Raw genomic sequence first — 23,144 nt, forward strand, 5'->3', positions numbered from 1 at the left:
TATACACACATACACACACACACACACACACACACACGTGTATATATATATTTTAGAATTTTTGCACGTATATTCACAAATGAGATTGGTCCACACTTTGCCCATACTTTCTTTTTTTAGGTTTTGTTTTTAAGGTTATGCTAGCCTCATCGAATTAATTTGGAGATGTTCTTTTTTGTTTTTATGCTCTGTCATTCTTTGTTCCCTGGATGACCAGGATAACCCTTGGTGAAATGGCTCATCCTTGGTGTTTTCTTTTGTAGAAAGACTTGAAAGTACGGGTTTACTTTCCATCTCGTGCTTTTCTGGGATGTCTCAGCTGCCTGACACACACTAAACTTTTGAAGATTTGAGTTTTCTCAGTGTTGCGGCAGCTTTGTCAGCTAAAAACAGTTTGATGCTAAAGGAAGCTTAGCCTCTCATGTTAATCTGTTATTTATTTGTTTAACAGAGAAGTGATTGAAAAGAAGCCAGAAAAGTTTAAAGTCCAGTGTTTGACAGACATCAAAAACCTGTTTTTCCCCAACACAGAACCCTTTTATGCTGCTTTTGGAAACCGACCAGCTGTAAGTAGTAGATTGGGTATAGAAGAACCCTTGAAATGACTGCCTTTTCTGGTTGCTGTCATCTGAAAGCCCTATCCGAGAACCATATGTAGAGTCAGATTCTCATCCCAGAAGCAGTAGCCTGGTGAAGAGCCACTTGCCCACATCTAAAGGCAAGGGGATTACAAATTATCTTATGGCTTCCAGGGTTCTTTGAAGGTTGGCGGGTGGGTCAAAGCTTGAGATATGGGACTTAAAACTCCAAATTTCAAATTACTCATTAAAGCAGTAAAGCAAGAACATTTAATCGGATTAGTTTCTTTCTACCAGAAGGGAACCGCAAAATCAGTCCTAACCATAATGGCGAATTCAGCATCTCACGTTTTAAGTGTCTAGTGTTGTCTCGTATCATGAAAGAAGCGCTTTGAGATTTTGCATGTATTGCCCGCATTTACTGGAAAGCTAAGTATTCTAGAGAATGTAGTTGGGTACTAACTGCTCCATCAGAAAGTCCTACTTTTGAAAGTTACGAGAGATTTTCATGAAGTAGGAATATGGGTCAAAGAATAACCTGAAGGAATGTTAGAATTGCGGGGACGTGGTAGGTTGTCTTTTCTTCAACTCAGTCCTTGAACAGATGAGGGAATTGAGGCCCAGAGAGCAAAACTAATTGAATAGTTTCCCATCAAAGGATATTCTTTCACTGCACCACTTTGAGGTAGAGCTCTGGTTAATGAAAATTTGATATCTCATCAAATCAGAAATACCATGGACTTGTTTTTACAATGAACTCTTTTCTAATGAACACTTTAAATCACCTTTACCAAATATAGGATGTGTATTCATACAAGCAAGTAGGAGTGTCTTTGAATAGAATATTTACCGTCAACCCTAAAGGAGAGCTGGTACAGGAACATGCAAAGACCAACATCTCTTCGTGAGTATTGTACACATTTTATGTGATTATGATATCAGTACTATTATCTTAAAACGGTGCTTCCCAGTTTGCGGTGTACCTTTTCCCCTTTGCTGCCTATATGTTAATCTGTAATTCTTATAATGAAAAAATGTATTTTAACTCCTTGTATTTTGTCCAAAACATAATTTTTAGACAACTGGAATTAAATCAGATCCCTTCTGGGTCTAAAATTTAAACTCGTGGTTAGAGTCTGCTACAGAATGGAATTGAATGAATTTGAAAACTAGTAGTTTAGATTTGCCAAGTTAGGTTTGAAAGCCTAGAATGTGAATGAGAAATATAACCAAACTGAAATATGTGAAGTTATATTTAAAGATGAGGAACTGTATATCTCTTCACATACCAAATGTTTCTTACCAGAGACATTGCTGTGTAATTGTTAAGAATTCCCTTCATATTTTTGGTCAAAGCCCAGTTTTTCTGAGTCGGTGGGCTAAATGGGATTACTCTTTCTAATGAGGCATCCTTGTGTGCTTAGAATCACTCTTGACTTTATCCTGTCCCCCTCGGGTTCCTAACTTATTAGGATGGAGAGCATTTCCTCATTCCATGTTGTTGGGAGGTTGGCCCACTGGGTGACATCAGCCCAGGCCGACCCTTGTCTTCCTGCCTTGTCCATTTCAGAGACTACACCTCTTCTGGTCTGGTCTGTGCAGACCTGGAAAAGAGCCTCTGGCAGGCCAGGCACGGTGGCTCATGCCTGTAATCCCAGCACTTTGGGAGGCTGAGGTGGGTGGATCACCTGAGGTCAGGAGTTCGAGACCAGCCTGACCAACATGGAGAAACCCCGTCTCTCCTAAAAATAGAAAAATTAGCCAGGTGTGGTGGTGCATGCCTGTAATCCCAGCTACTCAGGAGGCTGAGACAGGAGAATCACTTGAACTCGGGAGGCAGAGGTTGCTGTGAGCCCAGATCGTGCCATTGCACTCCAGCCTGGGCGACAGAGCTAGACTCTGTCTCAAAAAACAAAAGAGCCTCTGGCCTTAGTGGCCCCAGATAGCCCGAGGGGTTCCTCTTTATCTGGAGGAGTTAGACTGGGGGAGTTTGGTTCTAGGAGATTCCTAAGGATTGGTTTTCTCCATGTAGCTTCTGTGGTTTTAGATAGAGAGATAAGTTCTCTCTAGGGCAGATTTTTACTTTCAAGATGGTCCTTAAACTAGTTGGATTCTAACTGAGTGTCAATAGGGCAGTTCTAGGCTAACAGGAGTCCTGGGGCTGCCCCACAAGACTCCTCTCACCCTGCAGTCATGCCAGTACCCAAGCAGTCCTCAAGGTTTGTGCAGAGAGAGGGGAGGCTGGAGCCAAGGCCCTGTTCCCTCCTGCAGAAGGCGAGGCAGTGCCAGGCTGCTTCCTGATTGGCAGAAAAACAGCAGGAACTTGATTCCTTTCTTAACCCTTCCTTGCGGTTTCTGCCACCTCCACTGTTCTAAGTGGCTGACTGTGACAATGTCTCGTTCCCACTCCCCTCTCATTCCCCAGGCTGGAGAGGACCTACTGGGTTTCTATTTAGGATCTGTGTTATAGTCTGTTTTCATGCTGTTAATAAAGACATGGACCCAAGGCTGGGTAATTTATACAGGAGAAAGGATTTAGGCTGGGCACGATGGCTCATGCCTATAATCCCAGCACTTTGGGAGGCCGAGGTGGGTGGATCACCTGAGGTCAGGAGTTCAAGACCAGCCTGACCAACATGGTGAAACCCTGTCTCTACTAGAAATGCCAAAAAAAAAAAAAAAAAAAAAAAATTAGCCAGGCATGGCAGCTTGCACCTGTAATCCAACTACTTGGAAGGCTAAGGCAGAAGAATCACTTGAACCCAGGAGACGGAGGTTGCAGTGAGCCAAGATCATGCCACTGCCCTCCAGCCTGGGTGACAGAGTGAGACTCCATCTAAAAAAAAAAAAATTAAAAAAAAAAGGGGAGACCTCACAATCATGGTCAAAGGAGGCAAGGAGGATCAAGTCATGTCTTACATGGATGGCAGCAGGCAGAAAGAGAGCTCGTGCAGGGAAACTCCCCCTTATAAAACCATCAGATCTCATGCGACTTTATCACAGGGACAGCATGGGAAAGACCTGCCTCCATGATTCAGTTAACTTCCACTGAGTCCCTCCCACAACACGTGGGAATTCAAGATGAGATTTGGGTGGGGACACAGCCAAACCATATCAGGATCAAAAAGAACTTTGAACCAATGAGACGCTGTCCAGGAATGGGAAAGTGGCAGGTCTTGCCATGCACGCATGGAAAGAGGGACTCCAGCATCTGAGAGGGTTTGGCTAGGTGGCCTCTGCGGTCATTGCATTGACTGAGGCTCTAGGGTTAAAATGCACACCTCGCCCATGGCTTGGCCTAGGGTGGAGCTCTGCAGACTTTACTCATTGCCAGGGGATGTTGACATTTTACACCTGGACTGGAGGCGGGGTTGTTCCTGTGAGAGAGTAAATCTCCTCCCCCAGGAAGCTCACATTTCTCTGGCGCTGAACTTGGTATAGCTATTTCTGAGCCAAGTAGATGCTTGTCATTCAGAACTGGGACAGTCATCTGAAATGTCTTCAGAGGCTGGGGCCACACAGCGGGAGCAGCTCAGTTCTTTTTCCCTTTCGTTTGCGAGTGTCTGTGCGTAAGCTCTGCCTGCTTGGGAGGAGCACTGTGTGTGGAGGTCGGTCTGGGGGAGGCGCGCAGATGGAACTCGGCCTGGCCGCTCAGGGAGTGTGAGAGTGGGTTTGGTTCCAGTGCACCGCGGCCTTGTAGTCAAGCCTGCAGGGAGGGGCCCTGCTGCCGCAGCCACAAACCTCAGACAAATAAGCCTTAAAGCCGGGAGGTATTTTAAAAATCTGTCTGTTTGTTTGAATCCCAAGGAAAGACATAACTCTTGGTTTTGTATTAGGAGACGTCACTTTCCCATTTTGTGCAAGCACACTGTTTCTCATAAGTCCTTTGGAGGTCCTTTATTAAATATACACACTCGGCTTCATTTAGTACATTATTTTATACCTCAGAACATGCACACTTCTGGAGTCTGGATTTTGGAAGTTCCTTTAGGTTCTTAGCAATTTGGAACTAGACAGTGATCAGTGACTGTCAAGGAGGAATCTGGGGATGGCTGGCAGTGGGCTGGGTGTGCCAGAATCTCAGTTTGGAGGTGCCTGGAGGTCTGAACATGCATATTCAATATAGCAATAGCAACTTTCTTTTCATAGTATAAGCCACAGAAACTAACATGCAACATATTTTTGGGCATGCAAATAAAAGAGAGCAAGAGAACGTTGTAGGAAGCATTGGGAAGCCCTGCTCTAATTCAGCTCCACAGACTATAAAGACGAAGGGCTCCAAGAGGGCAAGACAATTGTCCAAGGTTACAGCAAGCAGGAGAGCCCGGGTCTCTTGACCGTCATGCCAACCAGGGCTTTTTTCTCTAAGACGTGTTGATAATTTGTCATTTAGATACATTTGAGCACCCAGTATACATTATTTTAATGTTGCATATGTTATTTTATTTAAATTATCCTTAAAACTGTGGCATAGTTTTTATTTTCCTCCCTTTACAGTGGAGGAAATTGGCTTAGAGAGGTTACGCCATTTGCCCACGATCACGCAGCTAGTAAATGGCAGAGCTGAACATCAAATTAATGTCTCTTTAACCCCAGGACCCAGCTCCTTTTCACTATGCAATGAAGCAATCTCTGTCAGGTGCTCCAAAGATGTGCCTTGTCTGTGATTCTTCCCCCGATGTCCCATATGTGACCCCTGCAGCAGGCGCTATCCCATGGCCATGGTGACTTCCTCCTGCCGTCTTTTGCTTGGCTGTATCTCCTTTACCTGTCCTTCAAGTGAAGTCAGGTCCCACCCACCTCTTCCCCAGAGCCTTCTCTGATGCCTTGTTTGCATACTCTTCATTTTCATCTCTCATTTTCAATTAATCGATAACAAATTATTCTAGAATGACTTGAGTCGTGTCGATAAGTAGGCGGTCTGCTCCTTGAGGTTGTAGATCTCTCTTGACTTCTACGTGCAGCCCTGGGTGCATAGCTGGTATCGCTCAGTGCCAGTGACAATGTCCCTTTCCTTCCAGGTATGTGAGACTCTGTGAAGTAGTCGACCACGTTTTCCCGTTGCTGAAAAGAAGCCATTCTTCAGACTTTCCCTGTTCGGATACCTTCAGTAACTTCACCTTTTGGAGAGAGCCACTGCCACCTTTTGAAAACCAGGACATTCATTCTGCCTCAGCGTAAAATGTCCCAAGCAGCCTCTTGCCAGCAGTGCAGAGCCTGGTTGTCACCCATTAAAGGATAGGTCTCCCCGGAGTGCACAGCTCCACCTGGGAGCCTGGCGCGTCATCATTGGCCTGACAGCAGAGAGAATTGAGAAGCATTTCTCCCCTGCCCCACCCCGGGGCTGACATTTCTAAGCAAGATAGGAAGGGAGCACTTTCTAGGCTAGGAGTTGGGTGCATTTGTACCGTGAAAAGCATTCCTCAGTTGTGGCTTAATGCCAGTTACGACGCTGCCTTTCCGGCCTGCTCCAGCAAGTAGCTACTGGTTCACGTGCAGTTTGGGGCTGTGAAACCTAGGCAGAAGGCGGCTGTCTGAGGGCTGTCCCCGCCTAGGACAGGGTCAATCGAGGAATGCCAGATGTGCACGGTTTTTGGCAAAGTAGGGGGCACATTTCCATTATAGCAATGTTAGTGCCACCACCTTCTGAACACAGTGGGGAGGGCTGTGAAGGCTCATGTGACCTGGATCTGAGGTCTCTGATAGAAATCTGGACGCCACCGGGTCCAGGCCTGGCCTCAGACTTGGCCTTGTGGATGGGCCCCTTACAGTATTTGCTGACTAGTCTCATTTTTAGGTGATAAATTTTTCTTTAATTCCTTTGGTTAAAGATAGTCTATTTCATTGGCATATCTCCCCCCAGTTTTTGTGGCTCAAGGCTGGAATATTTATGCCTTAATATATCTATGGCAGACATTTAAGAATGCGCTTTATCTAGCTCATGGTAACTTTGCAACGCCTTAGATTAAAATGACAGTAAATATTACTAAGGCAGTATTTTGAATGAGTTTGACACTGCCGGCTTCCTTCCATCCAGCGAGGTGGTGCTGACAGTGTGGACTTGAGCACACTTATGCCAAATGATAATGATACTGACTTCTGTTGGGAGCTCTCCAAAGAAACTGGTTGGTTTTAAGAAAATAGTTTCAAGAAGTTCAACTATATTCTTTTAGATATTATGTATTGTTTTACTCTGATTAGGTTACTGTGATAGGCATTTATTCATATTCTTTCTATACCACTGTCATTAATATATTAAAAAGATGTATGTGTTAGACTATCGAAAGGGCCTTATTCTCTCTTTCTCATAGACTGACCTTCTTTTGGAATTTCTGAGTCATTTATTTTCCTTAGCTTTTTCCACTCAAATTAAGGGCAAGCGAAAAAGTAATAATTTGGCATTCTTTAAGCCTACAGAATGTGATTCTTTCACTTGTTTATTACACTGGCTCGTGGACAGAACAATTTGAAAAGTGAAAGAATTATTTTGGTAAAAGATTTTGCTTTACTTTTCGAAGCATTATTTTTTTAAAGAGTGTTTTACTCCAACGATTGAAACATTTTCCTATTTAAATTTCATTGTTAGAATCACAGGAGGCAAAAAATGGAACGGTTGAATGAAATTTTACTCTTTCTGTGAAAGAAAATCCACAGAGTTGTTGCCTCCGTTGTAGTTGGTGGGCCCCGTTAGCATTGGATGCCTTTGCCAAATGGTTCATGTGGACACACAAAGGCAAACAGATCTGCCATCGATCGCAGATTTCTGTAGAAACACGGATGTGCATGTGCAGATTCCCTTTTGCAGGTATTAAAAATAATTAAAAATAGTCCTGCCTGAGGTTGCAGTGAGCCGAGCTTGCACTACTGCACTCCAGCCTGGGTGACAGAGTAAGACTCCATGTCAAAAAAAAAAAAAAAAAAAAAAAAGTCCTGCCTTAACTAACTCCTCTGCGCTTGTTCACTAGTAACCTAAAGAGGCTATATTCATTCTTTATGCAATGAGGGTATTTTTGAGTGAATTTTAACTGCTCTGAACTAAGTATAAGCTCATGGGCCTGCAAAGGTTCAGACGGTTTCTCCTTTGCACCCAGGAGGAACTTTGGCTGCGAGAATGGGGGGATGTATCCCTCATGCAGTTGGCATCCAGGCAGCCCTCTGCAGCAGCACACCCTGCAGGCGGAGTTTTCAGAGGATGCAATTTTGGATCCCGAATTTTGATGTACCTTAAACTTCCACATCACTGCACCCTGAAACAGAGCATGCTTTCCAGAAAGTCACACTCTCAGATCTGTGTCAAGTTCAATGTGAGCCCTGGCAAGGCTGGCATATTAACACCTGCCTTCTGGCTTCTGAAAGTGAGATTTGTATATGGGCTGCACTCACGCATATACGAGTTGGTTTATCTTTGTGTACATGACTATAACCCAGTGATGCTGAGGTCATGTGCTGGAATGCTGTATTTGGACCACACATTTCAAAGTTGCCCTATGGAAATGAATCCTACTTAGTGACAAGTCATCAAATGTTTGTCACATGTGATGAAGACAAATATGTATACCTGGCATAGAGAAAAATATATACCTGGTACATTGGAGAAAAATAATTACACTTTCAAAGAGAATTCCCTTTGCAATTTTATGTTTGGATCACCACTGTAAGCACACTTTATTTGCATTTGATCTGTATTTGTATATGCTGATGCAATGATAAAAATCACTGTAATACTTCATTGTGTTGTACTGGATGCAAAGCTAGAAAATATTGCAATAAATGAGACCGATGAAAGACTTCTCTGAAAATCAGGTGTGTGAATTTTAAATAGTTTTTGGTAAGTTACTAAGTTGTTGACTTTTCTGGGGTGTGTTATCAAGCATATTCTAAAAAAAATCTTCAGGCTATGAATTGTTCACTATTTGGAATAAATGTTTTTCCTGATGTTTTAGATTTAAATGGGTAAAAGACCAGCCTTCTCTATGCACTTGCTGGGGACGGGAGGGATGAAGAAAGAGAGGAGAAGGCTGCACCCGGGATCCCTCCCTGCCCTGGTGGGATGATTCAGGAGTAGGGAGGTTTCAATCAAGTGAATTTCATGAAGTGCCTCCCAGGGCCTGGCCTAGAATTGGTGTTTAGCACATGGGGGTTCCCCAGCCTCACAGCTGCTGTCCTCATTTTTTCGACTCTTCTCTGTGGTAAACCCCAGATTCATTTTTCATTTTGAATGAATCAAAATCCTTGACTAGTGCAATCATATAAGCTGAAAACTGTCATAATTCCTATTGATTTTACATGTCAACGTGGCTGGAAGCTTCCTATTGATTTACCTGCATCAGCCTAAGCGTTTTTGGAATAAATGGAAAAGTATTGGCCCCCTAAATGCAACATAGCCGGCCAGGATACTAGGCCCAATTCCTAATGAAGCCCAAATCCAAACGGTTCATCTCTAGGTGCCTGTAGAATTAATGCTTTTGCATCTTAAAAAACAAAACCTTCTAATTTTGTTGAACACCATCACGGATTTGTTCCAACTCGGACTTCAGTGTGCGGGCTCTTTTATCTATAAAATAAAAATTTGTCTAGACTATTGTCTTTGGCCTGTGGATTCCCACGTGCTGGCGGAGCTCTGCAGGCAGCTCTCACGTGTGCGGGGTAAACGAGCTCGGGGGCTTGGATTTCCCCAGCGTCTCAGCTGTGATCACCTGAATGTTTAAAAGGCTTTACAGCTTGGTTCTCAAACACTGACACATCAGCTCTCTTGCATCGGAAGCCGAGGAAGGTTGACGATGGGGCCATTGACCATCAGCATTGGACCCCAGAGTGCTCTTTCCAGGAAGAGGGAATGCACGTGGCCCTACTACAGCCCTAGAACAGCGGAACTGTCCTGGAGGAAAGTTAAGTCGGCCCCTTCTTAAAAAATTAAAAAGCTGGCTCCTAAAGGCTGGGTGCGTTGGCTCACGCCTGTAATCTCAGCACTTTGGGAGGCCAAGGCAGGTGGATCATCTGAGGCCCAGGAGTTTGAGACCGGCCTGGCCAACATGGTGAAACCCCATCTCTACTAAAAAAAATACAAAAATTAGCTGGGCGTGGTGGCATGTCCCTGTGATCCCAGCTACTCAGGAGGCTGAGGCAGGAGAATCACTTGAACCCGGGAGGTGGAGGTTGCAGTGAGCTGAGATCACACCACTGTACTCCAGCCTGGGCAACAAGAGTGAAACTCCGTCTCAAAAACAAAACAACAAAACTGGCTCTTAGAATAGAAACTTGGTGTGGCCTAATCTACTGCTCCAGGAGAGGTTTGTCCATCTCCACTGACATTCGTCTGCCTCTGCTCTTTATTACTTAAAGACTATTTTATTATTATTTTTGGGGGGAGACAGGGTCTTGCTCTGTTGCCCAGACTGGAGTGCAGTGGTGTGATCATAGCTCACTGTAACGTTGAACTCCTGGGCTCAGGTGATCCCCCGGCTCAGCCTTCAAGTAGCTGGGACCACAGGCACATGCCACCACACCTGGCTAATTTCTGACCACTCCCCTTTGTATTTTATATTTTGTCTTCAGACCTAGTTAGGGGCAGCGCTGTGCCCCATCTCTGCCTTAAACTAAGAGAAAGTGGTGAAAATGCCAGTAGGTTTTCTGCCTTTCTGCTTCCAACTCCCTTTTGAAACTCCTGCTGCATCAAAGGTGGTGATCAGTGTCACTTCTGTTGCAAGCCAGGCAGGGAGCTTGGTACCTGAGGGAAACCAAAACATGAGCAGACAGAAGCTGACCTGACCCTGGAAGTCAACGGGCCCAAATGGCCACCGGGGGGCACAGTCGCTTTTGGTTTGGCAGCACAGCCTTTAAAAAAAAAAAAAAAAGTCCCCACTTTGACAAAGGCCCCTTCCCGGGTAGTGCTGGCCTTGGAGACCAGCCAGGCTGTGGATCCAACTTGTGGGCAGAGGGGGGAGTTCCTCAAGGGGACTGTTTTGGTACCAACGTGCCTGCAAGTTGGCACAGCCCAAGGTCAACAACACTAACTGGCTGGAAAGGGCGCTGTCTGGCTGTTTGTTCAGGTCTAAAAACCATTTAGATCTGCGATTCTCAAAGTGTAGTCTGCAGTTCCAGCACTAGGGAACTTGTTAGAAATGCAAATGCTCAGGCCCTTACCCTAGACCTGCTGAATCTCACCGTGGGCGTGGGGCCGGGTTATCTGTTTTAAGAAGTCCTTCAGGGGATTCTGCCTCACGTACAAGTTGGAGAAGCAGGGTTTAGATGATGCAGTGGAGGCCCTGCATGCTGCTCCCAGGTAGCCTCTTCTGTATTGCTCAGCTCACATCTGACTTTAATTTGGCCTGGCCAGAGCAACGCTCACCGCCCAGAGCTCACAAAGATCTGCCACAGGAGAGAAGCCGCTGGAAAGATTGTCTTCCCCCGGCCACTCCTGAAAAGGAGCTTGGAAACCCAGTACAGGCGCTCGCTTGAGTCACAAGGTGTCGTTGTGATCCTTTGCTACACGGCTTCCAGCCTGAGACACCTTCCCAGGGATGTGGGCCGGCCCAGGCTGGGAGGGGATTCCAGGCCGTGCAGTGTGAGTGAGTGAGTGTGTGTGAGTGTATGTGTGTGTATGGCGGAGTTTGGAGGGGGTGTCCATGTGAAGGAGCAGGCCTGGGCTGTGCCCAGATTGCTAATGGCTCCCTTCCTCCCCCAAATTGTTGGAGCCTGGAGGTGCCTGTCCTGATGCCAGCGATCTTTTCACTGGTGCAGGAAGTCCATTCAGCCCTGCATTGCTTTTAATGAGTTTTGCAAGCAAGTGGCCTCTTCCTGTGACTCATTCTGCCTTTTGTGCACCGGAGATTGTGGTTTTAAGTTTCACTTTGGAAAGTAACCACCACTTCTGCTGCTTTCTCCCTGTTGGAATCTGAACAAGTTACATTCATTTTGCAACAAAGAAATGTAAATGTAGGAGCCGCCAGTCATATTTCTGCTCTGATTGTAAAAACATCCTTTTCCGAGATGGTTGACAGAGCCAAGCTAAGAAGAAATGGTTTATATTTTCAAGTAACACATTCATTTGGGAACTCCGTATTTCCCGCTCCCCCCACCCACCAAGTTTGCTTTTGTTCTTTGTCTTATTGATTCGTATTTCAGGGAGATCCTAAAAAATAAACAGTGCTTGTTGGTTGAGTGAGGCGGTTAACCTCTAATTTATTGAAAGAGACTTCATTCTGGACAAAAGTTTGTGTTCTTCCTTCATGCAGTACACAGAGGATGACCATAAGGATAATTTCTTGTACAGTAAAATGTTTTTCCTTCGGACCTTCCACACAAATCCGCTTATGGTATCCGAATAGATGAATTTCTTAGGATTAGCGAGTATATGTTAAGTGGACAAATATTATACAATATTTTTCCTCAAATTTAAATAATGTAGGCATATTTAAAATGTTAGTGTTGAACTAAATTTTTTATATAACTTTATTTAAATATGTACAAACATTGAACAGTAGCTCTTACAGCATTATAAAACCAAAATTCATTTAAGTACAGATAAAACTATAGTGCTAATCAGCTGGACACAGTGGTTCATGCCCAGCATGAACTCTCAGCACTTTGGGAGGCCGAGGTGGGTGGATCCCTTGAGATCAGGAGTTTGAGACCAGCCTGGCCAACATGGTGAAACCTTGTCTCTACCAAAAATACAAAAATTAGCCAGGCATGGTGCCACGTGCCTGTAATCCCAGCTACTTGGGAGGCTGAGGCAGGAGAATTGCTTGAACCCGGGAGGCAGAGGTTGCAGTGAGCCAAGATTGCGCCACTGCACAGTGAGACTGTGTCTCAAAAACAAAAACCAAAACAAAACTACAGCGCTAATAGAGTTCAAGTTAATATTAATGGTACGTAGTGGAAAGTGCTGATGTATTGAAGCTAGTGAAATGATGTTGGATTTGGGCTTATAATAGATGTATCTGTGCTTTTAGTTTCATTTGTCAACTTGATTCTTCTGACTTGAGCATAATGGACCACCATTAAAATCATCATTATAACGCTGACTTCTGCAAAACGCGGTAGTGAAAAAGTTCTTATTCCATATTGACATCTACATTGACTGCCAGTGAACTGTTGCAAACTTTTACACCAAGGATGGGATCTCCTTGATCCATTGCCTCACAGGACAAATGTGGCACTGACTTGGATTTGGGGACTTTAAAGTTCAGCCAGAATTCATTGTCCTGATTTTCTCTTTTTGAAGTGCTGTAAAGCCTTGGTTTGGAGGTTACATGATCATTTCGCTTACTCAAATCCTTGGCACACTTACGGATGTACAGGGAGCGGTCCTGCACTCCGATCCATCCTTGGGCAAAGGCTCAGCGGTCTCATGGGAGAGTAGAGCTGCTCCTTCCATGGGGAGGAGAGAGGAGCAGGTGAAGAGACCTGCAGGAAGCCACTTCCAGACCTGCATGTGCTCTGCCGCCCTCTAAATCACATGGAGAGGCTGGGTGTCTAAAGTAATGGGTGGGTAATCCTATTTTTAGAGAGCCAAAGCAATTTTACAACTTTTCATAATGGTTTTGCTTGCTTTGGGAGCAAGCTGGTGGATGGGCAGGTGATAACGTTTGCATGGATTTTTGGGGGTCCTGGGATGGGAGGCAGCTTTCTTTGGGGATCAGGGACACTGGTCTGGGTACCTCTCATTCCCACAGGCACCTCCTGTTGCAGGAACGGGGTCAGGGTGCAAGGTAGCTAAGCAGTCTCAAAAGCCTGAGGTCTGACCAGATTTGTGAAGTGCCTGGAGAAAAGATGGGGGAAGGGATATTAGCATGACACCTCCAGATGAGTGGGATGGGGGCAAGGGTGGCCTTATGCACCCACCTCTCCACCCCTGAGACACCAGGCTGATCAGAAAGCACCACCCCTTGGGGATTCCGGAGATGCCCTTGACATCCACGGGAGGAGGAAGACTTTGACCTTGACTTGACTTTGGCTCAGAGGAGGCCTGGCTTTTTCTTTCCACAGCAGCAGCAGCGCCTGGCAGTCTGCATCATTTCGCCACAGTGTGAAACCATTGGCTGATGTATAAAGGTGAATTTCAGACCCAGGGGGTAGTCTAGGGTGTCCATGTACAACGTATGAAAATGTGAGCTTTAAAAAGGGCAAACATTAAAATTGAGGATGTCCTGTGTGTGCCTGGTAGTAGGTAGTATCTCACTATGCTTGTGGATAACACATGGTTTTTTGAGGGCACTCATAACTGGTTGATGTGCTTGTTCTTATGTTCCTTGAAGCAAATCCTCTAGGGACTTCTCTCAACTGGCACAACAGTAGATGGCCTTTACAGTAACGCACCTTCGAACATCTCATCTGGCTGACAGCTTGCACATTCTTTTTTTTTTTTTTTTTTTTTTTGGGAGATGGAGTGTTGCTCTGTGCTCTGTCACCCAGGCTGTAATGCAATGGCATGATATTGGCTCACTGCAACCTCCGCCTCCCGGGTTCAAGTGATTCTCCTGTCTCAGCCTCCCGAATAGCTGGGACTACACACGTGTGCTGCCGTGCCCAGCTAATTTTTGTATTTTTAGTAGAGATGGGGTTTCACCATATTAGCCAGGCTGGTCTCAAACTCCTGACCTCATGATCCACCCGTCTCAGCCTCCCAAAGTGCTGGGATTACTGGGGTGAGCTACCACGCCCAGCCCAGCTTGCACATACTTTAGCTCATTGGTCACCCTCCTCTCCCCAGTGGAAGCCCCAGGAACCTCTCAAGGCCCAGCTTCAGCCTCACCTTCCCTGTGGTCTTCTTCAAGCAGACCCATACCAAGCTCTCTGTGCTTTGGAAACTGCCAGGTAAGACATAACTGTTTATTATCATTTCTATTTCCAAATCACTGTTTACAGTCATTAACTTCATTTTATTGAGGGGAAAATTGAAATTCAGAGACTTTTGTCTAAGGTCCTCCAACTAGTAAAAGGCAGGACTAGGATTAAAGTCTCCAAATCCAGAATGATCAGAGAGTCATCAGGCTCTGTTTCACTGTTTCCAGTGAGGTGAAGTGGGGAGGCATCGGAGCGACAGCCACGTTGTATGCCTGCTGCACGAGCCAGACCGCAGGACAATACTCAATGAGAGGCACCAACATCCATCCTGGCTGAGCTGATGATGGTGAGAGGCCACAGAGCCATGAAAATGACTTGGAGCAGCCTCCATGTATTCCTCAGGGTTGAATCATTGTGTGCACCACAGAGCATTTGCTTTGTAAAAAAGCTAACACTGTGAAAAATGGGGTAGGCACTTCCTGTTTTGACCAGGAACAAATGCAAACCAGACCCTGCTCCTCTCACCAGGCAGAGCTTGCTCTTTCAATTCAGAGATATCTTCAAGGACCCAATTATGCTGTGGTGCGGAATGGAGCATGTATGTAACTGAGGTTCCTGCCAAAGACATCATCTCCTGGCTGAATGGCAAGACTGGCCAGGACACCAGGAAACTGAGACTGATTGGACACACAAGAATGTGAGCTGGTGAGACAGTGGGACACAGGACTAAGCAAATTATGTTTCTCTTCTGCCTTCTGTTCTTTGTCACTAATGTAACAATAGAGTAATAATACAAAGGAGTGACACGTTCAGTTGCTGAATTCCTGATGTATTATATCCTGGTGGAAATGTTCACTGGGGTGGGGCTTCCTGTATATGTGGGGGGCAGAGACAGGGAGTTTGGAGACCCTGAACTTCAGGAGATCTGGGAGAGATGGCTGCTTGTCCTCTGAAGAGTTCTGCTTTCCTTGCATATTGTAGAGTAGTGGCTGAAAAGCAGCTGCCTAGCAGGGGCTGTATTTTCCAGCCCCCGCCCCCATATTAGGTGGGGTCATGTCACTCCATCTTGCCAATGGGAACACGAGCAGCAGCGACCTGAATCACTTCTGGGCCAAGGTAGTTAAAAAGCAGGTGTTCCTTTGTCACCTTCTCTGTCTCTGTCCATCAACTAGAAGCAAAGATCTCTAAGGAAGGAAACTGGGTCCCTGAGTCACTCTGTGGAAGGTAGCCTGCCAAGTACTAAAATGGACTTTGTGTGAGTGAGAAGTAAACTTCCAGCATGGTGAAGACTCCAGAATGTCTTTCAGATACTTTTTGCATGCTAAGACAGTTTGGGTACTTAAGATTAGTGACTAAAGCAGTGAACAAAACAATGAAATCCCTGTCCTCACGGTGCTTGCACTCTGCATGACGGACATAGAAACCAATAACATGTCGAGTGGTAATAAGGTCTGCAAATAAAAAAGGAGCAGGGGAGAGAGGAAAGTGGAGTGATGGAAAGGCACCATTTCCCAGAGAACGAAGCAAGGAGTCCACCCCTCTACTGCAGTGACATTAGAGCTGGGGGCACGGGGTGAGGAGATGAGGGGCTGGCATGGCTAGAGCTTAGGTGGTGGAGGTAGCAGGAGCCCAGTTGTGAAGGGCCTTGCAGACCACTGTAAGGGGAAAACTGAGAGGAGCTGAACTTGGGGAGAAAACCAAGTTTTCTTTGGACGTGTAGGTTTGAAAGAATGATTAGACATCCAAGAAGACAAGTCAAGTGGGCAATGGATATGCCACTCTAATTTTCACGGGAGAACTCAGGACTGACAGTGGGCATTTGGGCATGATTAGTACACAGATGGTGATGAAAGCCACAGGGCAGGATGAGCCCAGGGAGAGACTGAAGGGAGTAGAGAAAATCCAAGGTCCAAGGACTGTCCAGGTGTCCCTCCTGAGAGGAGACCTTCCCTACCCTGAAAACACCCATCACTTTTACCCCCAGGTAGACTAGACCCTCCCTGTGTGGCACCCTCACAGGACACTGACATTCTATCACTGCACCTGCCCCGCTTCTGTGCATGATTTCTTCAATGTCTGTCTCCAACCAGACATAAGCTCCTAGATCCCCTAATGCTTGGCATTGCGTCATCCACATAGTAGGCACTGCAATGACATTTTCTTTCTTCCAATGCTTTATTGTCGAGTATAATTCTGAAGTACAAAACACCACTCAGACAGACATAATAGCGACTGTTGTATCAATGCCCATTCCAGGCACTCTTCAAATTGGCCACCAGATGGAATAAAAGGGATTGTCCTTGAAGAATCTGACTAGTGAGAAAACATTATAGAGTGGAGAAGAGAGCAGGCAAGAGCTGTGTCTGTTGTCCCTGCTGGTCAATTTCTCTTTCCCCTTTTCCACCTCTTTCCCCCCGCCTCTCTTTTTGCCCTTCCTTTCTTTCTTTCTCCCTTTATTTTGTTGGCTTTTTATAGTTTTCAGTCTACTGTTTTTTTTGAAACCAAAATAACATATTCACATAGTTTTAAAAGTTGAAGATTTTTACCAGAAGACACACAAAATCCACATGGCTGGTCCTACTTGCCCCCCTCCCCCACACCCCTCCTGATTCTCATTTTCAACCCTTGCCCCTGTTTATTCTGGAATTTACTTTGATATTTTTAAGTAAAATGAACATACTACAATATTTCGATTAATGAAATTTAGGCATTCCTTATTGACTTACGATGCCAGATGAAGTTTTTGTCTTTCATATGTGCTTTTTCCCATCCCTAAGCCTTATAGTATAAAAATATCATGTTTTTTTTTATTTCTATAACTTTTGGCCTTCCCTGGAGTTAATATGCTCCATTTTTTATGGCTCATTATTTTTTCAAATTATTACTAACTCCTTCCTCAGCCCCCAAAAAATGTTATGGGAAAAAAATCTCTGTAATATTTTCCACATTGTTAAATACATGTCTCCTTTTTTCCTCCTGGAAACCCTCCCACTAAAGTGCTCTCCCCGCACATTCCAGTCTAACAGGGCTGCTCTGACCCCCAACAAGCCATCAATCTGGAGTCTTCTCTGCTTTTCTCCTTAATTGGAGGCCCTGTCTCCAAGATCCCAAATGGATTGTTCTTAATTTTTTTTTGTGGTATCCATCTCTAATTTTGTGAGTCTACCCTTCAGTCTACCCTTCTGAAGACATTAGTTATAGTGTCTGTGAAATTTTCTTCTGTTTCCTGAATTATCTCAATAGTAACTCCTCAAATTTTGCTCGTTTGCTTTGGTTTCTATGGGCGACTTCCCTCAAGTGTCTGGTAATACTTTATATCTGTTTATATGTAAGAGAGATGCACTAAAACGTTGTGGGGTTGGGAGGTGCCTGTGCAGGATGGCAGGTGTCTGCGTCTATCTGTGGGTAGGTGTGGGTATATGAGTGTGGGTCTGTGTCTGTGGGGTGTATATGGGTGTGTGTGTGGGTGTCTGTGTTGTGAACATGGGGGGTGTGGGTGTCTCTTTGTGGGGTGTGCAGGTCCTGTCAGCCATGGGCTCTGCTGCAGGTAGTCTGAATGTCCCCCCAACATCAGCACCTGCAGCTTTCCTCTCTGGGGTGGTTTGGTATCTGCAGAGAGGCTGCCTGGCCTCATGGCGGGAGGTGGAGCTTGTGGTGAACGGCCTGTCACATGCCACAGTTGGACCAGGGAAGCAGCCGAGGAGCCCTACTGCTCACTGTGCAAGTGCCTCCAATGCCCACTTTTAGTCTAGCACCTTGTCCTGCCTCTTTTCCCCAACTCCAGGACAATGCACCTGTCATTAGCCACTCCAATGCCTATATCTCAAATTCCCACTGTCTACAGAATCATTCCCATCATCATACAGATCTGCTGTGATGTGTCCCATCAGCGTAAAACCAGCCCCAACTCATATTCCTCTCCATGACCACTCATTTCTCTGCTTCCCTTTATGGCCAAATTCTTGGAAGAGATGACTATATAGTCTGCCCTTCCAATCCATGGGTTTGATATCTGTGGATTCAACCAAGCATGGGTCAAAGATATTTGGGAAAAAATCTGTCTTTACTGAACACATCCAGACTTTTTTTCTTATCATGATTTCCTAACCCATAGAGTATAGCAACTATTAACATGGCATTTACATTGTATTAGGCATTATAAGCAATCTAGGGATTATTTAAAGTACACAGAAGATGTGCATAGGTTGCATAAAGATACTATGCCATTTTATATCAGGGGCTTGACATCCATGAATTTTGAGATCCACAAGGGTCCCGAAACCAATCCACCATGGACACCAGAAGCTGACTGTCCTTGCTTTTCCCCTTCCTCCCTTTCCTTCCCTCTTGCACCCACTCCAAGCTGACCTTTGGCTCCCACTCCACGGTACCCACTCAATGTCTTCAATGAACTCCAAGGGACAGAGCCAAGCAGTTTAGTCTCCATCTTACTTGGCCCAACAGTCAGGGAGGAATTTGGTTATGATTTGTCTCTTGCTCCTTCCTCAAAGTCTGGAAGACGTTTCCACCCAGGGAACAGGGAAAACAGGGCAATGGACGGGCAGCAGTGTGGCTGGAGGACTGGCTCTGAAGTGCAGCAGGGATGCTGTTAAGGGGTGAGCAGGGCCACATCATGAGCCAGGTGGCCTGGCCTCATTTCCCATGCACTTGGTGGCCACTAAAGGGAGGAGGAGTGGGGAATGGCAGAGTTGGGTGATGCTTTAGAGGGATCACCCAGGTGGTGGTGGTGACAGATGGGAGGGGCTGGGCAGGAGCAAGGAACCTTACCTGAAGACTCCAGGTGGCTCAGAATGGAGAAACTGAAGGTCCAAACTGAGGCAGTGACACAGGCATGAAGGAGGGGAGCCGAGGAGAGCCGGGGAGGAAGCTGGGATCACTTCCAAGTCTCTAGCACAGACACATGAGTGCATGGAGGGCCCATTACAGAGTCCAGCAGCCCAGAAACACAGAGCCGGCTGAGGCCTGCATGGAAGTCCAGAGGTCCACCTGAGGCAGGTTGAGTGGTTGACCCTGAGGAACAGCCAGCGAGTGGCCAGTGAGGCAACGTGTTCAGTCTGGACATGCCTCATTGTTCCAAACAAGGTGACAGGGGAGAGGCAGCTCCTGCTGGAGAAGCCGCTGGTGAAGGTCCACTCTGCAGAGTTTCAGAATGGTGCCAGCCCTTCCAGGCTGCTCCTTGTCCATTCCCTGCCCCGTCAGCCAGCCTTGGCTGCCCTTTCAAGGACACATGAAGCCACAGGAACAGGGAGGGCCAGTCTGCGTGGTGAGGTGACCCCTGACACATGCTGAGGTCTCCCCTGTGCTGGGAGGCTGGAGGGCATGCCTCGGCCTCTCTGGGGTCCCCAAAGCACAGCTCTAAGTGCCCATGTGCACCCAGCAGGCTTCTGATCTCTCCCCTCCCCACACCTGGCTGAGTGGGTACCTGGCTGTCTTCATACCTATAGACAGGTAGGTGCAGTGCCTCATTTGGCCTCAGACCCAGGTGTGATCTCCATACCAGCTCTTCTTGTATTTTTCCAGAGTGAATGGGGGTTGTTGACAACTTGTCCAGATGAGTGAAACTGACATTTGCTTCCTATGTGCCTGTGTATTCTTTAAACAATTTTTAAATATTTTTAATAAAGGAAAAATGAATATATTTATGGTGTAAAACGTGATGCTTTGATATTTATATACTTTGAGGACCGTGATAATGTATTATATTCTTTAAAACTGCTAAGGGAGTAGATTTTATTTATTTATTTATTTATCGAGATGCAGTCTTACTCTGTCACCCAGGCTGGAGCGCAGTGGCGTCATCTCAGTTCACGGCAACCTCTGCCTACCAGGTTCAAGCAATTCTCATGCCTCAGCCCACTGAGTAGCTGGGATTACAGATGTGTGCCACCACGTGTGGCTAATTTTTGTATTTGTTTTTGTAGAGACAGGGTTTCACTATGTTCACCAGGCTGGTCTGGAACTCCCAACTTCAGGTGATCCGCCTGCCTTGGCCTCCTAGAGTGCTGGGATTACAGGCGTGAGCCACCATGCCCAGCTGAGAGTAGATTTTAAATGTTCTCATCACAAAAAAAGGGTAAGTATATGAGGTGAAGGATATACCAATTAACTGAATCATGCTGCAGTGGATACGTTCATCAATGGCTGTTAATTCTGTTATGTTTATATGCATTGCAATTGAGGAATGGAGGAGGAGTAATTGATATTTATGGCACATTTTGGCTGGAAATCTTTGAGAATACCCCTTGTGAGTTTTGCATGAAAAGGAGATTTTCAGGGTGGGGAGCTGAGCCTTGATTTGCAGGATCTCCAGCCTCACTTGTTCTGCACGGGATGCAGCGGCTTGTGTGTCCCATCAGAATGACGGCTGCAGCTGATGCTGGTGAGAGAGATTAAGAACAGAGCACCTTCTGCACCTCATCAGCAGGGATTCTTAATCTGGGTTGTAGGCTAAAATTAACTGGGGGAGGGGGCCAATTTAAACAATTACTAATGCCCAAGTCCCAACCCAAACCAATTGAATCTGAGTCTCTATCTACACCCTCCAAGTGGGGTCAACTTGGAGTGTTTACATCATAAACTCTGATTGTCATTGTGGATTTGAAAGACTCAGACTGTGGCTTCAACCACAGCAGCGTGATGGTGGATTTTATCTACAAAAGGATAAAGACCTTTGTGGGCTGGAGGGAAGAGGTTGTTTTACAAGGGATATTCCATCTTCTTGAGTAATGCACGGGAAAACCCACAGTGGAATTATCAGGAAACAAGACGCTAAAAATAAATGTGACATGCTTCTCTGATAGGAGAGTAGGGACAGATCTTGATATTTGCTTCAGCATGGGGGTGCCAGGACCACCCGGGGAGCCAGAAATGAAGAGATTGTAAGAGGCAGAAGAGAGCCTCTAATGAGATGCAGAGACTTCCCATTTCTTGTTTGCTGGAGGACTGAAGCCAGTGTCTGGAGGGCAGGCAATTTGCAACTATCATCATGAGCCTCCTCAAAGATGAAGTCTGTCTGTTGAATTTGTATTTATAGATAAAATATACCAAACAATTGGCAGAACTTGCTGGTATGCTGGCGAAGCTGAAATCATACATACCTAACTTTTCCATATATTTTCCTTCTTTCAAAAATTCCCTAGTTATGGTGTTTGGCTGGGGTCTGAACTGTATTACGAATTGGTCCTGCCATCATGATTTTACTTGTAGTAGCTTTTCTAAGGGCTTGAAATTTGCTTGAGTTTTCTAAATTTTATGGGTGAGGGGATGGTAGTGAGAGAATCTTATGGTTGTTACTGGCTTCTTGGAAAAGTGGGGCCCAGGAAGACTTGGGATTAGATTTCCAGTCCTTTGCAGATGCCAAAAGAATCCTGTCCATTGAAAAGTGGTTTGGGAAGCAGTGTCTTCAGGAGAAATCCATCTGAAATCTACTTCCACCAGAAACCCCTCTCTCTAACACTGAGAAGAAAGGGAAATTTGAAAAGAGAATTATTTTTACCTCAATTTATTTGGACTTTAATTCCTATGTGGAAATCTAAAAATGAGAAAGAATTGAGTGTCCATATTTGAGATCCTTCTTCAATATATATTTGGGTGCACCGTATGATCTCTCCAGGACCATAATAGACCACACTGCTGAACTTACGTACTGTGTGAAATAGAATAGGGTAAATTTCAGAATAGGGTATAATGTAGCCTTGAAGCTAATTTAATTAATATCCCATTCTTGCTCACTTCAGAGCCTTTGGGGAATCCCATGAAATAGTAGAAGTTGAGGGAGTGGTTTTACAGCTGCTGTCCTACCCTCAGGAGACAGTTAATTCATAGACACACTTGCACGATTAAATCAAGTTCAGTGAGTGTACCCCAGAATCTGATGACAGCAGCCACCCTATTGGTTTCTGTCTGCATTTGATCAAATAGAATGGCCTGGGGGTGTATGGGTGATGGTAAACATCCAAATGCCATTCCAACAATCTACTTAATAACTGACCTTTACGGGGTGGTAAAGTAATCCTCAAAAGGTGTGAAATTTTAGTAAATAATCTTTATTTTTTTTAGTTGTGCAGCATTCCAGGCGAATTATGGATTTATACCCCATCATTCCAGACAAAAAAACACTCTAAGGTTTAAGTTTCCTATTTATTTAGCCAAAGATGCAGATACTTATTGGAAGTGAGGTGGCTACACAGAGTAGAAGACAGGTAAAGATACTTCATGTCTCATTGTAGCTTCTTTTGACCCTTCATTTATCTACAGAGTACTAGTCAGTCAAGGTGGATTCTTGCTGGGTCTAAGAAAATACATTTCTTATTACTCCACAACATTCCAGAAAACCCAGTTATGCACAATCCAGCACCCCTGGACTCTGATTTAATACTCTTTCATTTGGAGAAAGAGAGATGTTAAGGAATTGGTGCATGCAGTTGTGGGCGTGCAAGCCTGAAATCTGCAGGGCAGGTTGGCAGCCTGGAGGCCTGGGGAAGAGCTGACATTGTAGCTCAAGTCCAGAGGCAGTCAGGAGCAGAATTTCTTCTTCCTCAGGGGACCTCAGTCTTTTTTTCCTAAGGTCTTCAACTGATTGGATGAGGCCCACTCACATTACAGAAGGTCATTTTGTGTGCTCAAAATCTACCAATTTAAATGTTGGTGACATCTAGAAACATCTTCACAGCAACATCTAGACTGTGTTTCTGTGTTTGATCAAACACCTGGCACCTTAATCTAGCTAAGCTGGCACGTGAAATTAACCATTAGAGA

At 45.3% G+C, this 23,144-nt stretch overlaps 1 protein-coding gene, 1 long non-coding RNA gene and 1 other non-coding gene across 18 annotated transcripts in view, besides 2 other annotated features; 2 read left to right on the forward strand and 1 right to left on the reverse strand.

Moving 5' to 3' along the window:
* LPIN1 (lipin 1) overlaps positions 1–8,377 on the forward strand; it is a 149,866-nt gene extending 141,489 nt beyond the window's left edge. For 13 of the 14 annotated variants that reach the window (NM_001261428.3, NM_001349208.2, NM_001349207.2 and 10 more), the window contains 3 exons: positions 452–566; positions 1,379–1,482; positions 5,600–8,377. In NM_001261428.3, coding sequence (NP_001248357.1) covers positions 452–566; positions 1,379–1,482; positions 5,600–5,759 — 379 coding nt within the window. In that variant the 3' untranslated portion in view covers positions 5,760–8,377. Of the gene's footprint in view, positions 1–451; positions 719–1,378; positions 1,483–5,599 lie in introns of all 14 variants that reach the window. The other variant, NR_146080.2, reaches the window with a different exon arrangement.
* Positions 8,652–8,761: an enhancer, noted in NCBI's record as "active region_15325". NCBI's record gives its function as "activates an Ori minimal core promoter by ATAC-STARR-seq in GM12878 lymphoblastoid cells {active_cell/tissue: GM12878}" and the evidence as "EXISTENCE:reporter gene assay evidence [ECO:0000049][PMID:35858748]".
* Positions 11,009–11,725: an enhancer, noted in NCBI's record as "OCT4-NANOG-H3K27ac-H3K4me1 hESC enhancer chr2:11970167-11970883 (GRCh37/hg19 assembly coordinates)". NCBI's record gives its function as "activates a minimal SCP1, AML or CMV promoter by ChIP-STARR-seq in primed H9 embryonic stem cells {active_cell/tissue: H9 hESC(primed)}" and the evidence as "EXISTENCE:reporter gene assay evidence [ECO:0000049][PMID:30033119]".
* Positions 13,190–23,144, forward strand: part of LOC105373430 (uncharacterized) — a 34,063-nt gene continuing 24,108 nt past the window's right edge. For 2 of the 3 annotated variants that reach the window (XR_001739287.2, XR_001739288.1), the window contains exons 1-2: positions 14,188–14,396; positions 14,594–15,071. This is a non-coding gene — a long non-coding RNA (uncharacterized LOC105373430). Of the gene's footprint in view, positions 13,635–14,187; positions 14,397–14,593; positions 15,072–23,144 lie in introns of those variants that run through there. The other variant, XR_922803.3, reaches the window with a different exon arrangement.
* MIR4262 (microRNA 4262) lies at positions 17,901–17,954 on the reverse strand. The gene has a single exon (NR_036226.1). It is a non-coding gene; the product is annotated as a microRNA 4262 (primary transcript).

The sequence above is a fragment of the Homo sapiens genome, chromosome 2 (genome assembly GCF_000001405.40).
Source record: "Homo sapiens chromosome 2, GRCh38.p14 Primary Assembly".
Lineage (NCBI taxonomy): Eukaryota > Metazoa > Chordata > Mammalia > Primates > Hominidae > Homo > Homo sapiens.